General features: G+C 42.4%; 1 protein-coding gene across 1 annotated transcript in view, besides 1 other annotated feature; it reads right to left on the bottom strand.

Moving 5' to 3' along the window:
* Positions 1–17,002, bottom strand: part of TMC1 (transmembrane channel like 1) — a 316,690-nt gene that overhangs the window by 243,666 nt on the left and 56,022 nt on the right. Inside the window, exon 2 of the mRNA NM_138691.3 lies at positions 16,609–16,730. The gene's annotated coding sequence lies outside the window, so the exon portion shown is untranslated. The remainder of the gene's footprint in view (positions 1–16,608; positions 16,731–17,002) is intronic.
* Positions 1,911–1,970: an enhancer, noted in NCBI's record as "active region_28462". NCBI's record gives its function as "activates an Ori minimal core promoter by ATAC-STARR-seq in GM12878 lymphoblastoid cells {active_cell/tissue: GM12878}" and the evidence as "EXISTENCE:reporter gene assay evidence [ECO:0000049][PMID:35858748]".

Below are 17,002 nucleotides of genomic sequence, written 5' to 3'. Positions count from 1 at the left end.
AGTTAAAAAGTCTGATTTCTTTCCCATTATCATAGCGAAACAGGCCATGTCACCCCAAAATTTGCTGATGTGGCATGTTGATTATTTTGAGCTAAAGTCACCTGAGAAACAGCAGATGCCGGAAAGGGCTATGTGATCTGCCCTCTTCTACCTGTCGTAAGCCAAAAAGATTTATTTAAGAAAGTTGCCCTCCCTGTACCAGAATAAGAAAATAACTCTTATCACCATTGACTGGGAGTTGATGCTGCAATGGAGCTGTACAAATAAACTTTCTAAACTATCCCTTATCTTCCTCTATCTTTACACCTCCCTAGTGAATTCCCACAATTTACTGCCACTGGCCCAAACCCCTTTGTCTTGTCAGCTCTTCATGAATTTATGGTTTCTCTGTCTAAAAGGTATTAGAGCTTTCTGCTTTGTCCATTTCTTCAGGTCTTCTGCTGTCTCATGAGGGTCTCCGCGTACATGTAAAAATCAATAAAACTCATATATTTTTCTCCTGTTAACCTGTCTTACAGTGATTTAATTCTTAGACCCAGGTGAAGATCCCAAGAGGTTAGGGAAGAATTTATCTTTCTCCCCAACAATAGAAATTAGAAACAAACTAACAAAGACAACAGCAGAATGATGAGTATACTCTCATACCTCTCCCCGTCATAGATGCAGCCCCTGCCCCTACCATCGCCATATTAGTAACACCATGCCTGGGCAGGAGAAGGGGGCCCTTTGATGGAAGAGCAACAAAGGAGGTCACTGACTGAGGGTCTGCACTTGCCACCAACGAGGCTGCAACACAACCAGCCAGAGATGAGCAATATCCAGTCAGTTCCAAAATACCCTTCAGTCTTTGAGAAGCCTAGGTTTTCGCCTGTTTCCATTTTTCTTTTCTTTTCCTTCTTCTTCTTCTTTTTTTTTTTTAAAATAGAAATGGGGGTCTTGGGGCTGGGCACGGGGGCTCATGCCTGTAATCCCAGCACTTTGGGAGGCCGAGGTGGGCAGATCACCTGAGATCGGGCGTTCAAGACCAGCCTGACCAACATGGAGAAACCACGTCTCTACTAAAAATACGAAATTAGCCAGGTGTGGTGGTGCATGCCTGTAATCCCAGCTACTCAGGAGGCCAAGGCAGGAGAATTTCTTGAACCCGGGAGGTTGTGGTGAGCTGAGATCATGCCATTGCGCTCCAGCCTGGGCAAAAGGAGCAACACTCTGTCTCAGAAAAGAAAAGAAAAAAAGAAAAGAAAAGAAAAGAAAAAAGAAAATGGGGATCTTACTATGTTGCCCAGGCTATTCTTAAACTCCTGGCTTCAAGCGATCCTTCCACCATGGCCTCCCAAAGGGCTGGGATTGCAGGCATGAGCCACCACACTCCGCCAGATTTTTGCCTGTTTCTGTTTTCTGAAATGCTGGTTTTGGGTGGAGATATCTAACTTCCTTATTCCATGTGTTCTTTCAATAAAACTTCTCTTAATTACAGTGACTTGAAGGTTTCTCTCCTCTTTGAAAACTGAACACTATTTTCAATAATTATCCAATTTTTCCAACCATTTCAAAAGAAATTCTATCTTCACTCTAAAGAATTTTACTCACATTTTTAACCTTAAAAAAAATGATTCTTTTCTCCCAGAGCAATACTGTTTTAACAGCCCTGAGCCTAGTCAAGATAATAGTTGTTGTATCACTTACTTCCAGCAGATGGCGCTATTGCTGGTTCACACACCCACTGTCCTAGGAAATTTAATCTCATTACTAAGTAAATACCAACAACTGCTTCACAAAGGTAACTGCTTCTCCCTCTTCCTGAGAACTCATCACAGTTTTAACAACCACCATCTCCCTAACTGACCCATTGGACATTTAACAGCTGTCTTTGACGGTTCCATAAGTGTAAGACATTGAGCATCTGATACCTAGGGATGTTCTCCAGTCACTGCAGGCAACTTAGAATCTAGCAGGAGAGGTGGCCATTTAGCAAATAATCCCACAGATACATAACCATGGCTTTGATTTGTGCTTCAGAAGGAAACACGCACACCTGCTTGCTAATGCCACACATGACCAAGCCTGAGAGGTGGGACCCAAAGGAGAAGTAGGGGGTAAATTCTGAAGGAGGAGGGAGAGGCAGCCTCCCAAGGAGAGCTCACAGCAAGGTGCTGAGGCTGGAGGATCACGGCACCTGAGTGGAACCAACAAAAAGAGGCCAGAGCTTTGACACCAATGATAAGAGTAAAAGAAAAGAGAACTGACTGATGCCATTGATAAGTTCCTGGCTTTAATGATCCCCAAGTTTATATCTGTAATGATCTTCCCTTCCAGGTTCCACATATATGTTCCTGCTTGATGTATCCTCTTAGCTGTTTCAAAGGTAACCCTCAAATATATGTGTAGCTTTGACTTCACCATCTTCTCAGGTCTGTAGGGCTGTCTCCTGAATGTCAATGAATAGTGAAACTCGTCATTTAGTTGTGAAATTCAGAAAACTGTAAGAGTCCTGGAGTTGTCCTTTACCCTGCTGATCAAATCCTGTTGATGTTATCTACCACATCAGATGGTTTTTTTGCTCGATCAGTGATCAGCAAAAGGGCTGTTCTGTGTATTGTATGATATTCACCAGCATCCCTGACCACTACCCACTAGATGCTAAGTGTGATCTCTAAACTAGCAACTAGCGCCTCCAGGTAATTTGTCAGAAATGCAAATTCTCAGGCCCCATCCACGACCTACTAAATCAATGATACCCAGATATCTGCATTTTAACAAGGTTTCCGTGCCAAGGTGCAGTGGCTATAATCCCAGCACTTTGGGAGGCCAAGGAGAGAGGCTTGCTTTAGCCCAGGAATTTGAGACCAGCCTGGGCAACAGAGTGAGACCCTGTCTCTATTAAAAACAAACAAACAAATAGCCATGGTGGTCCATGCCTGTAGTCCCAGCTACTCAGGAAGCTGAAGTGGCAGGATTGCTTGAGCCTAGGAGATGAAGGCTGATCAAGGTTGCAGTGAGCTATGATTATACCACTGCACTCTAGCCTACGCAACAGTGTGAGACCATCTCTAATAAATAAATAAGACTTCCAGGTGATACTCAAATCCACTACAGTTTGAGAACCACTGCTTCAGAAACCCACTGCCATGAACCTATTCCATCACTTCTTACCCGGGCTACTGCAATAGCCTTGTAATTATTCTTCTCCATATTCACACTTCCTTCTACAGTGAATCTCAATCCTGACACACTTTATAACCTACTGGGAGCCAACCTAAACTAATTAAATCAGGATCTCTGTGGGTGACACCAAGGCTTTGATATTGTTTAGAAGTTTCCTCTGGAAAGCCAAGGCCAGAACTACTACTCAATGCTAATCCATTCTGCCTTGCAGCCAGACTGATGTTTAAAGCTGCAAGTCTGGTCTTAAGTAGAGGTGCCACCTCTACTTAAAATTCACCTTGATATAGCCTCATTTCTTAACACCTACAGGGCAAACCAACAAGCAAGGGGCCTGTGTTTAAAGCCACGCACCCCTCCCATCTTCATCACACTGACCTTCTGTCTGTTCTCTGCAGGCTCCATGCTTTGTCCTGCCTTAGAGTCTTGCACCACTGTTTGCTCTCTTGGCCTAAACCACTCTGTCTTCCTCTTTTTGCCTAGGAATCCTCACTTATTCCGCGGATCTCAGTTTCTTCTTCCCTTCCCCAGGAAAGCCTTTCCCAACCTTCCCTCTTATACTAAGGGTAGGTAAGAGTGGGGTAGGGCCTGAGTTTGCCCAGAAAGTCCTGATTTATGCCTGTTGTTCCAGGACAATTAACACACCCTCTTACATGCTCAAAAATGTCCTGTTTGCAACAATAAATTATATAATGCCCTCACCTGTTAGATACTGTCACACACTTTCTCATATACCTCCCCTTTGTGACTCATCACAGGTGCCACTTTACATTTTTTTGGTGACTCTTGGATTCATGTCCATCTTCCTCACTGGACTGAAACAGTTTGACACACAGGAGGCACCCAACGAATATGTGTTGAATGAATGAACAACCTTTTGAGGTGAGCATTAATTAGTGTTCCCATTTTACAGAAGAGGAAACCGAGTCGAAAGAATTTTAAGTATTTGTGTGATTTGCCAAAATCACACAGTTAGGAAATGGTATGGCTGGAATTTGAACCTAGCTCTGGTGTTTTTCAAGATCATAACCATGAAGCTTGGAGAGAGCTCTTTCACTGCCTGATTCAGTGACTAAGATTCTACAATAGCCCAGGATTGAGCTTTGCTCAGTCCTTTTTAGAACTGAACTCAGCTTGAAAGCTACACAATTATTTCCTTTCCATTGAAATTGCAATCTGCTTCAAGGAAATGAAGCTTATGGCTGTCAGAGTATAAAGGGCAAGTGTGTGGGAGAAGCCAGAGATCAAACGGTCAAATACACTTGTTATAGAATTTTTCATGAGCTGAAAATGCTATCATTTGAATCCAAGCTTCTCCCCATTGGATTTTTAAAAACTGAGAACAAAGGGTGAGGGAAAAGGCAGCTGTCAGTGAATAATCAGGAGGCAGATGGAATGGTGCAGGCCTGGGGACAAGGAGGAGAGGCAGCCAAGGGCTGGGACAGAGATCACAAGATAAGTCAGCATAGCAGAAGCTAAGAAGCTGCTTCTCCCTCAGCCCAAACACAGGGGCAACATTGGATACCCTGCAGTTCATCAGTGGGTCCCTCAACTTGCACCAGCTTCCCTTCCTCTTTCAATATAGTAATAGTAAGTTGTAATGCCCTGAGGTCACTTTGTCTCTGATTCTCAGTTTCCTCATCTGCAAAATGAAGAAGTTCCATCTAAACGACCTTTAAAGTTGTTTTTGGCTGTAAAATTTTATGGTTTTATAACCCACAGCCAATGCTGTTAGAATTGACTCAAGAAAGACAAGAACACACCTGGGTATTAGTAGTCATTCTCTTCTCAAAATCAGAAAAAGGATGGCCCATTTATGCTATTCCTCAACCCATAACCTTACAAACTGCACCTGATTGTTAAAAACGTGCCTCAGGTCAAGTCCGACATGCTTTGAAGTCTAAATTGAACCTTGAAGCTCAGAGCCAAATGAACCCCAACCAGAGTGAATGCCACAGTGTACTAAATCTCAAACTGAGATGAAACTTAAGCTATCATTACAAAAATATACATTTAATAGAAAAAATTGGTGGTGATATTTTTAATTTTTCAATAATTTCATTTGTTGGCAAGATGAATTATGTATAATTTTAGACAATTAAATCGGAACAAACCCAGATTGTATTAATAGTTCACATTTGTGAAACACAATGTATTTAATAGACATTTTCTAATTGGATCAAAACGTTTCATGAGGCTTTGTTTGTTTGTTTCCCCACACTGAGCCTCTAGCAAGTTTATAAGGTTGATGTCAACAGTAGAAGTAAGTAGCTAGGAGGTAAGACCAGCTAGGAGAATTTATTCAAATGCAGCTCTGATGTTTCTGTGCCTTGATGCATGCCGTTTACTTGTCCAGAAAGCTCATTCCCCAAACTCCACCTAAAGAAGTCTTGTTTTTCTGGCCTGGCATGGTGGCTCACACCTGTAATCCCAGCACTTTGGGAAGCCAAGGCAGGCGGATCACCTGAGGTTGGGAGTTCAAGACCAGCCTGACCAACATGGAGAAACCCTGTCTCTACTAAAAGTACAAAATTAACTGGGTGGCGCATGCCTGTAATCCCAGCTACTCGGGAGGCTGAGGCAGGAGAATCACTTGAACCCAGGAGGCAGAGGTCGTGGTGAGCCGAGATCACGCCATTGCACTCCAGCCTGGGCAACAAGAGCAAAACCCTGTCTCAAAAAAAAAAAAAAAAATCTTGTTTTTCTATCCTGTCACTTACCTGGGAAGCAGTTTTCTGGGGCCTCCACATTCTTTGACCTTCCTGCTATTGAAACATAGGGTCTATTTTTCTTCCCCTTAAAATTGGCCTCTACAACTCCTTGATGAATAGAATATGGTAGAAAGAATGCTGTGCCAATTTGCAGACAGACTTTAAGAAACTGGCAGCATTTACTTTCTGCCTTGGAACCCAGCCACCATACTGTAAGGGAGCCAAACAGCCACATGTAGAGGCTGGGAGTAGGTGGTCAAGCTGACAGCCACAGCTGAGGTCTCTGTCTACAGCCAGCATCCACTGCCTGACATGAGAGCACAGGAGTGAGCAAGCATTCAGATGATTATAGCCCCCAGCCTTTGAGTTACTCCCAGGTTTTGAGCTGTCCTAACTGATGCCCCATGGTATAGAGAGGAGCTGTTCTACACAGCCCTATCCAAATTGCAACTTCATGAGCAAATTAAATGATTTTTTTGTTAGCTTCATCCCTGAAGTTTGGGGCAGTTTGTTATACAGCAGTAAGTAAGCAAAGTGACAGGAGTGAAGCCGTCTTTAAATTCTCACACCATCCTACAACCACCATTACCATCAGCATGATAGTCATTAGGGTAGTTCATGATTATTCTCACTCTCTCCTCTTTCTGGGTACAAGACAAAAATGCACTCTCTCTGGGCACAATGGCTCACACCTGTAATCCCAGCACTTTGGAAGGCTGAGGAGGATGGGTCACTTGAGGCCAGGAGTTTGAGACCAGCCTGGCCAACATGGTGACACCCCATTTCTACTAAAAATATGAAAAACCTTAGCCAGGCATGGGGGTGCATGCCTGTAATTCCGGCTATTTGTGAGGCTGAGGCAGGAGAATCACTTAAACCTGGGAAGCAAAGGTTGCAGTGAGCCGAGATGGCGCCACTGCACTCCAGCCTGGGCAAGACAGTGAGGCTCTGTCTCAAAAAAAAAAAAAAAATTAAAAATTAAAAATGTATTCTCCACCTACTCCCTCTGAATTCAGGCATGGTCATATGATGGATTGTGGCCAATAAAATGCAATTGGAAAGAATATATGTCAATTCTGGGCAGAAGCTTTTTAAAATTCAGGGTACAATCCAACAAATTTCCTTCCCCCTCTCATAGTGGTGGTAGAAGCCCACATAAAAATGCATCTTCCATCAATAGACTTCTTGAAGGGACTAGGAAAAACAGGGCTATGTTGCCAACCCATGCTGGACATACAGCTTGAGGAAGAAAATAATTATTTGTTGGGTTAAACAGCTGAGAATTTAAAAAGTTATCTGTTGGCTGGGCACAGTGGCTCATGCCTGTAATCCCAGCACTTTGGGAGACCGAGGTGGGTGGATCATCTGAGGTCAGGAGTTCAAGACCAGCCCGGCCAACATGGTAAAACCTCGTCTCTATTAAAAATACAAAATTAGCTGGGCGTGGTGGCGCATGCCTGTAATCCCAGCTACTCAGGAGGCTGAGGCAGGAGAATCACTTGAACCCAGGAGGCAGAGGTTGCAGTGAGTCGAGATCAAGCCATTGCACTCCAGCCTGGGCAACAAGAGTGAAACTCCATGTCAAAAAAAAAAAAAAAGTTATCTGTTACATAACCAGATTTCTCAATGGCAGCACTACTGATATTTTGGGCCAGATAATTTATTGTGGGAGGGCTGTCCTGGGCATTGTAAAATGTTCAGCAGCATCCCTGACCTCTATCCACTAGATGCCGGTAGTACCACCACCCCACAGTTGACACACTCCAGACTTTGCCAAATGTCCCTTGTTGATGGGAGAGAGGCAATAGACTACACCAATTGATGCAACCACCACCACCAGGAAGAATGAGTCACTTCCTCTTTACATTTTGAAAGCCTTAATAGATACTCCTGTGTAGCAATCATATCATTCACCACATTGAATTACACTTAGTTACTTGGACTCTGGTCACCCTCAAGAAGATTGTGAGAGCAGGTAGAAAAGTAGGGCAGGTGCAAAGATCTGCCTAGAGTTTTGAGTTTTCTCATGTTATACCAAGTGACATGGCAGGAACTCACAGTCTCTCCCCGCAAGATGACCAGATGATCCTCTTTGGGGTCACTGCAAATGGCTGGGCAGTGCACAGACTGCACAACGGTACCCAACTACAGAGATAAGTGGCAACTGAGCTCCATCTCACACCTCTCATTAAGCAACCTTCGCACGTAGGGTGTGAGTTTTTCCTTATTCATCTCTCTGAATAGAAGCCTTTTTGAAAACTTTGCACCAAGGCTAGCAGCTTCTCTGACCTAGATTGTGGGGGAATCTGAGCTACATACAGATCCACACAGGACAGAACTAGAAAATCAAAGCTCTCCTACTACATGCTGACACAGAAATCCATCTTGTCCTAAATCTTGTGGAAGAGACAGAAAGCTAGTTCAAGCCACTGAACAAGAGTGGGTAAAAGAAATGCAAGCTACAACTCCTTCATTTGTGTCGGGCAAACTTCAGCAGTATTCCCTAAAATTGGTTCTTTATCTGAATCAAACTGGCATCTCCATCAAATGACATAAAATCCCCAAGCCCTACTGTGTGGGCCTGTAGAACTCTCTAATCTATGTAAATTAAGCACTAATTAGAACCATTTTATTAAAGTTTCCATATAAAATGCCAGCTAAACTGTATATATTAGTGCATGTTGAAATCAGCCCTTGTGTAAATTGTTTCCAAAAGCACACATCCAGGGAGATTCGATGCAGCTGCTGGTTGTGAAATCTCCCCCAGGTTCTTCTCAAGCAGCTCTTCTTGCTGTTTTAAAATAGCTACCAAAGTCAAACAGTCCAGGGTGGCAACACGGTCGGAGGAAGTCTGACATCAATACTGGCAAGCCTCAGGGTGCATGACGAATCCTCCTGCTTCTCCATCTACGCCCCATCCACTCCACACTCACCTCTCCATTCCTACACAACACACATCATGATTCTTGATGGCTGAATGGCAATGGCTCCTCGTCAACTCACCACCAGGTCCTATCTGCACACCATCACTATATGACCCAATAACTTCTCCACTGACAACTTCTCCCAGGAGAAGTCTCCGTACATTATACTCGCTTCACCTTTCTCTTATTTTGGTCAACTCCAAGCCAGAGAAACTCTTTATTTTGCAAACTTCTGTATGCTCTTGATCCTCATGACCTCTCTTTGTGGGAAAATCCAGTTAATGTCTGTCATTGGCTTTTCCTTCCCTTTTCTTCTTGTATTGTCTTATTCTTTCCTCTTTCCTTCCTCTCTTCATTGTGGTTGTCAATTAAGACATGGCACCCAGGCCAGGCGCAGTGGCTCCCGCCTGTAATCCCAGCACTTTGGGAGGCTGAGGCGGGCAGATCACGAGGTCAGGAGATTGAGACCATCCTGGCTAACACGCTGAAACCCCGTCTCTACTAAAAGTACAAAAAATTAGCAGGGCGTGGTGGCAGGCACCTGTGGTCCCAGCTACTCAGGAGGCTGCGGCCGGAGAATGGCGTGAACCCAGGAGGTGGAGCTTGCAGTGAGCCAAGATCGCGCCACTGCACTCCAGCCTGGGCGACAGAGCAAGACTCCATCTCAAAAAAAAAAAAAAAAGACATGGCACCCATGATGAGTGACAGGAGTAAGAGAAGCCCCAATGACACCCCTTTATCAAGAAAAATGGCCAGGCATGGTGGCTTACACCTGTAATCCCAGCACTTTGGGAGGTCGAGGTGTGCAGATCACTTGAGGTCAGGAGTTTAAGACCAGCCTGGCCAACATGGCAAAACCTCATCTCTACTAAAAATTCAAAAATTAGCCAGGCGTGGTAGTGCACGCCTGTAATCCCAGCTACTCAGGAGGCTGACGTAGGAGAATCACTTGAACCCAGGCGGCGGAGGATGCAGTGAGCCAAGATTGTGTCACTGCACTCCAGCCTGGGCAACGAAGCGAGACCCTGTCTCAAAAAAAAAAAAAAAAAAGAAAAGAAAAGAAAAAGGAGAACTACATTTTTACGTTGTAAGGCATTCGAGAAGGATCATGGTGTTAAATTACCCAGAAGTTCCCTTAAAAAAATTCTACTCGCCTCACCTCTAAATAAACTTGTCTTTCTCTAGGAGCAAAGTTAATGATAATCTATTGTTTATTACTTATGGTTGGTAGTGACATTCCCATTTCTCACTTCAATTTGATGACATTATGCTGGGTGCGGTGGCTCATGCCTGTAATCTCAACACCTTGGGAGGCCAAGGTGGGCAGATCACTTGAGCTCAGGAGTTCAAGACCAGCCTGAGCAACATGGCAAAACCCTGTTTCCACAAAAAATAAAAGAAATTATCTGGGTATGGTGGCATGCAGCTGTAGTCCCAGCTACTTGGGAGGTTGATGTGGAAGGATGGTTTGAGCCCTGAAGGTGGAGGTTGCAGTGACCTGTGATCTCATCACTGCACTACAGCCTGGGTAACAGAGCCAGACCCTGTCTCAAAAAAAAAAAAAAAAGTAGTGACATTATGCTTTCTTCATGCAACCTCCTTAGCTTAGAATGATCTTCTCTCCATTGTTTGCCTTTGAAATACCTCTTTATCTTTTAAAGGCCTGTAGAATGAATTATTCCTTCCCCTGTACCCCTACATCAAGTTGCTTTTGTTGCAATTGAATACCTATTTTAGTTTGTTTTGTATTTCTTTCTCCTTCTATAGCCTGTAAGGCACTAGAAAGACTGAGTACTGTTAACATTATTAACCCCCCTGCCAGGAACATCTTTGTCTGGCACGTGGTAAACCCACAAGAAATATATATCAAAATGAAATAGACTAGGAACCTGAAGACCACTCACAAAGTTATTTCTGATACAAATGCATTGTTTTTCAAACAATTGACTTATTCATTTATTTGTACACTACTTTTTCCATAATAATTTCAGACAGCCTACAGATACTGTTATTTTTTATAATGGCATATTTTGTAAACTAAAGCCAAGACTGAAGATCAATACCAAGGAGAAAGGAAGAGTCCAGATATATGGGCCATAATGTCTTACATAGCCATAAAACTTGGGCTACAAGTTTGGCTCTGAGTTTCCTGACAGCCAAAGCACAAAGGAAAATATGTTTAATTACATGGTTCTCACTGTCCAGAAAAAGAAAACATGCCATTGCTTGAGGGAAGCAAAATTTTCCTGGCACTTCCTTTTGAAACAAAAGCTCTTGTATAAGATTTCTCATTAGAGTTGTTGAGTCAGCAAACAATTGAGTCTCAGTTGGGATTTTGGTGCACAATTTTTTTGTTTTGGGAACTGCTAGTGAAGAATCATATGGAAAGAGGCAGAGCAAAAGAGATTAATGTAGTGAGGTTATTTTATCTGCTCTTAAATAATAAAGATGGGAACATGTCTAATAAATAGAACCAATGCAAAGCATAACATAACATCCCAGAAGTAGGTGTCAAAATTATTTTCCTGTTTTCATTGCTTTCATTTGTCTGTTTATTTGGGGTTTTCTTTCGTGGAGGGGAAGGGGTTGTTTTTGTTTTTGTTTTTGTTTTTTGAGATGAAGTCTCACTCTGTCACCCAGGCTGGAGTGCAGTGGCACAATCTCAGCTCATTGCAACCTCCGCCTCCCAGGTTCAAGTGATTCTCCTACCTCAGCCTCCTGAGTAGCTGGGATCACAGGCACACACCACCAATCCAGCTAATTTTTTTGTATTTTTAGTAGAGACAGTGTTTCACCATGTTGGCCAGGCTGGTCTCAAACTCCTGACCTCAAGTGATCCGCCTACCTCAGCTTCCCAAACTGCTGGGATTACAGGCATGAACCACTGCGCCCAGCCCTGTCTGTTTATTTGTAATGACAATGAAAACATTTATGCTTCTGCTTTGTGGAAATTTTGAATGGAAATTTAGATCACTGACTCAATATTTCTGAGGTTTAGTGTGGGTTTAACAAGTGGGATATTGAAAAAGGTATTGAACAGCTTACATTTAATCATTAAGCTAGAAATAAAACAGAAATAAATGAAAATGATCTTTTCTCAAAAAGTCTTACATGAAGCACTGAAGCTTTTCAAAATCAAGAGTGTTATTAAGTTTTGATTTACCCCATTCATTGAGCTAGAAATGTAGAAATCCAGAAATTCAGGATTCTATGCAGCAAGTTAGCATACAGCTAGACAAGGCGGGGGCAATAAGAAAGGGGAGAAGAGGAATTTTAAAAGGCTAGTCAATCTATTTGAAAGCTTCCAAGGGGGCTATGTGAATCTCACTTTGAGAAGTAGATCTGCTCCTGGATACTAACTAAATCCTCAGTTAATATGCAGGCTGCCTATCCAAGCCAAGATCAACTGTGCTTTAAATTTCAGTTTAAACATTCTGGTGGGCTGGGGGGAAGGTAGGGAGCTAAGTAAATTATCGTACAGACAGGACATTAAAGCATAGCACAATTTTCTAAATATGTTTTTCTTGCTGTTTGCCAACATTTACAAATCTTTGCATGTTTATTGTTAAGATGCTATCGGCTGAGCACAGTGGCTCACGCCTGTAATCCCAGCACTTTGGGAGACTGAGGCGGGTGGATCACCTGAGGTCGGGAATTAGAGACCAGCCTGACCAAGATGGAGAAACCCCATCTCCACTAAAAGTACAAAATTAGCCAGGCATGGTGGCGCATGCCTGTAATCCCAGCTACTCGGGAGGCTGAAGCAGAAGAATCGCTTGAACCCAGGAGGCGGAGGTTGCGGTGAGCCGAGATCGCGCCATTGCACTTCATCCTGAGCAACAAGAGCGAAACTCCGTCTCAAAAAAAGAAAAAAAGATGCTATCATTTCCTGTAAAGTTATTCAACATGAAAACTGATAGCACTGTTTTAATGATTCTGTTTTCTGCTAGTCATCTCAAAAATATTCTCATCAACCTAACACACAAAAAAAATTCAGACTATTTTCAGCACTGTGGAGCATGAGAATGTAAAATGTGAAGTGTTCACCCCTAAAATAGTTTACTAATAAAAATAACCAGACTTTTGAGTCACTCCCCATTATTAAGTTTTATTTATAGATTTCTGAGCTGTTACTCAGGAAAAACAGTGGAGATGAGAAGGCAATAAACTGCTAAGCAAAATATACCAAGAACATATTTGATATTTGAGGAGAATTTGAAATTGAGCTGTGCTGATACTTCTTGCAAGGTCACTGTGTAGCAAAACTGTAATTCTTCTTTTAGTAATAAAACTGGCCCAAGAGTCCTCAGGGCTAAGAGTGCTAATCCAGTGAGAATACATTGAGAAAGAAGAATGAAAGACAGAAATGGAGTCAATGCATCTCAATATACTGACTGCAATTCCAGTTAGGATATAATCCATGAGCAACTCATTAAAAATAAAAACGTGATCATCACAGATGGCCAGAGATACAACCTGATATTTATTCATGAAATATCCTTGTGAAAAGTGGCATTAATAAAACAACCTGGGAAGGTAAACATAACTAGAGAAAAATAAATAAAGAACCCTAAATTAAGTTTTCCTTGTCAACCTTCTATTTCCCCTTATGCTAGTTAAGGGTGATGCATTATCCATCCAAGAAAGCTTTAAGTACTTGAACTCCAAAATGCTAATCTTTCACCAATCATTATGCATTATTTATGGGGCTAAAGTATTGGAATAAATTCATTTTTTATGTATTCCAAATAGCATAAAAATTCTTTTGAAGTTAGGATCAAACTGTTTTACAGAGTTATCGAACTTTTGCAGTGAAAGCTGGACTTTCTGCAAATATAGAGAGAGGCAGAGGAGAGTGAGCAAAAGTTGTTTGCCACCCTGAAACCTCTGACTGAGGATGGGGCATCATGCTAGCATCTCAGGTTTGACTTGGACATCATTTAACCCTGAATGAGATTCTAGTTTTGAAGAGGTGTTGTGTTATCAGTAGATTCATGTTCAAAAATCTGCCCACCCTGCTTCACTTTGAAGAGACACAATTTAATGTTAAATGGAATTTTCCAAGGCCACTAGATATTTTTGTGTAAGGAGGAGTTGTTTGTTTGCTTGTTTGTTTTTCGTCTGGGAATTCAAGCTTGGAGCAGAATGCCAGTAAGTTTTTCTCAGTTGTGGTATATATCAATTAATGAAGTAAATGTGACCAAACTTAACTCTGTGTATGTGCTTGTATGTGTGGTGTATGCACTGGCATGCACACACACACACACACACACACACTGCTTCACTGTCAGATTTAGAGAAGAGGTTTGGAAGTTAGTGTCTTCAATATCTTAAAATGTACATAGGAAGAAATTAAGAGACTGAGGCAAGACAGTGCAAAACCCAAAGCCAGGTTGGATCCCTGTACTCAGTCAGATACCATGAGCAATGTGAGGAAATGAGAAGGGTGTGTGTAATAAAACTGCTGGTTGAGGAAGATATGAGTAAGGCTGCACAGTGAGCTGATAGTGAGGTTTCTGGGAAAGAAATAAGGCAATACTTTGGAGTAAAGAAACAAGGAAAGAGATAAGACTATATAGTAGGAAAAGATATAGTTCCCCATGCTTCTTAAACTTTGAGAAACATTTAGAGGCCTTCATAAAATGCATATTCCTGGACCCTACCCCTGAAGAAACTGATTCAGTACGTCTGAGATGGCACTCAAGTATTTGTGTTTCTACCAAGATCCCAGGTGACACTGATTCTGCTAGTCCACGGACCACGCTCTTTTAAATAGCAAAGCTGTAGATGCTGACAGATCTGAGTCAGAACCCCTGCTTAGCCATTTCTTAATTGTGCACCTTTGGGAAGATGACCAAGGCTCTCTGAATCTTGTTTTCCTCATTCTTTTCTTTTTAAATTATTTTATTTTTAAATTTTTATCTATTTATTTATTTATAGACCAGGTTATGAGACTGGCTAATTTTCGTATTGTTGGTAGAGACAGGGTTATGCCATGTTGCCCAGGCTGGTCTTGAACTCCTGGGCTCAAGTGATCTACCCACCTTGGCCTCCCAAAGTGCTGGGATTACAAACATAAGCCACTGCACCCAAGTATTGTTTTCCTCATTCTTAAAATAAAAATAGAGACTGCATAAGACTGTTGTGAAGATTGAATAAAATAACATATTTAAAGCACCTGGGACGTAGTAGCAACTTCACATACACTTCCATTTTTATCCCTTCTGAGTACAGAAATAGGGAAAATAGAATCATGACCCAAGAGGGGCTCCAGGAAAAAGGGGAGGGGGCTGTGTGTCTAGAAGCTAAAGCGGTGGTTCTCAACCCTGGACTGGCATCAGAATCAACCGGAGAGCCATTTAGAAGTGGAGATTTCCTTGAGTCAAAGGACTGAGTGGAGTCTACAAGGCTTGCTTGGAGCCTGGGTGATTCTGGCGCCAGGCCCGAAGTTGAGCCCCAGGGACATATAGAAGTGTGAGTCAGATTTCCAAGGCAGAGTCCTGGAGAGCAGAGACCAAACAGGTGAAGCCAGGAACTGAGAAGACAAAGTTTTAAACTCATGAGCAGTAACAGAGTTAGGAGAAACCAGAGAAAGAAGCTTGCAGATAAGAAAGGGGAGTATATTAAGGATCAGTGTGAGTAAATACTTAGGTTACAATGACTTGCACCTTTAAAAAGTTAAATAAGCAGGTTATAAGTAATGTGATTACAACTCCTCACTGTATAGAAAGATTCAGCTCTGCAATCAAATGGATGCTACTGATTTTTCAAAGTAGACAAGATAGCATAAAGAGGTAAAAAGAAACTGGGAGAATTCCAGAAGCCCTAGATCCTCAAAAAGCAATTCCCAATTTGAGCTACTCTCCCCAATCCAACCACAATAGTAGAAACTGGAAATTCATCCAACGACCAACATCGAAAGGAACTACAACTGGGGGAGTTTACGATTCTGAGATGCCCCATTCATTCTATTCTTCTTTCCCCAGACCCTCAGGCACCACTACAGTGTGTTTCTCAGAATGCCAGAAATTGAGAAAGGCTGCGGGTGACATGGTTTCCTTGATAAATATGAAAAATGACATGTATTATAACTCTTTGTTGACTATGCCCTAGGCACATTAGCATATTTAATACTTTTAAAAAGCTCCTCTATTAGAAATCCTTATTTCAGTAAATGCTTTTGTAACCTCCCTCCTGTCACTAGCTCGTCAGAGCACACACACTCCATAGAAAACAGTCCTACGGCAAAGTCTGTAGTTGCCGCTCCCTCTGCCTGCCCCATTGCCAAGATCTGTAACTAAAAGCTGCACTGTCTAAATGCAGAGTTGTTCGGACTCCAAAACACTTCCTGTTGAAAGGAAAACTTCTCTTGGCTTTCAGATTCATTGCTTGCGAAGGAGGGATAAGAGCATCACTTGTTTGTCAGTTGGCTTTCATCATTGGTGCAGTTAGTTAATAAGCAGACAGTATGTTAATAACATGGACATACCTGCTTGAGACTCTCTGCCCCCGTAGGGAGATCAGAAAATACACACACACACACACACACACACACACACACACACACACGCGTGCGCGCGTGCACAAAGGAGGGTGGAAACAAGTTATTAAAGAGAAGATAATGTGCTCAAAGTCCTTGAGGAGGAAAATAAAATTACAACCAACAGGCCGGGTGCAGTGGTTCATGCCTGTAATCCCAGTACCCTTAGGTGGATCACTTGAGGTCAGGAGTTCAAGTCCAGCCTGACCAACATGGTGAAACCCTGCCTCTACTAAAAATACAAAAATCAGCCAGGCATGGTGAGGCATACCTGAAATCCCAGCTACTCAGGAGGCCGAGGCAGGAGAATCACTTGAACCTGGGAGGCGGAGGTTGCAGAGAGCCGAGATCGCACCACTGCACTCCAGCCTGGGCAACAGAGTAAGATCCCATCTGAAAATAAATAAATAAATAAATATAAATAAAGAATAAACTAATTAATTTCTAAAAATTACAAGAGGCAGAGCCCAAAACACAGCATGCTGGCTGCGTGAAGACCCATAACTCAGTTGGCATGTTTTTCAGCAAGCTATTACTCCCCTCCCTTGAAACTCCAGCTTGTAAATATATTTATAGCTGCTCCACACAATATGCCGGATACTAAAAAAAAAACACTGAGTCATTGTTCCTGGTGAACCAGTTTTGCAAGAGTTAATCTAATCCCT

Source organism: Homo sapiens, chromosome 9 (genome assembly GCF_000001405.40).
Source record: "Homo sapiens chromosome 9, GRCh38.p14 Primary Assembly".
Classification (NCBI taxonomy): Eukaryota; Metazoa; Chordata; class Mammalia; order Primates; family Hominidae; genus Homo; species Homo sapiens.
This window is presented reverse-complemented; position numbering and strand designations above follow the sequence as displayed.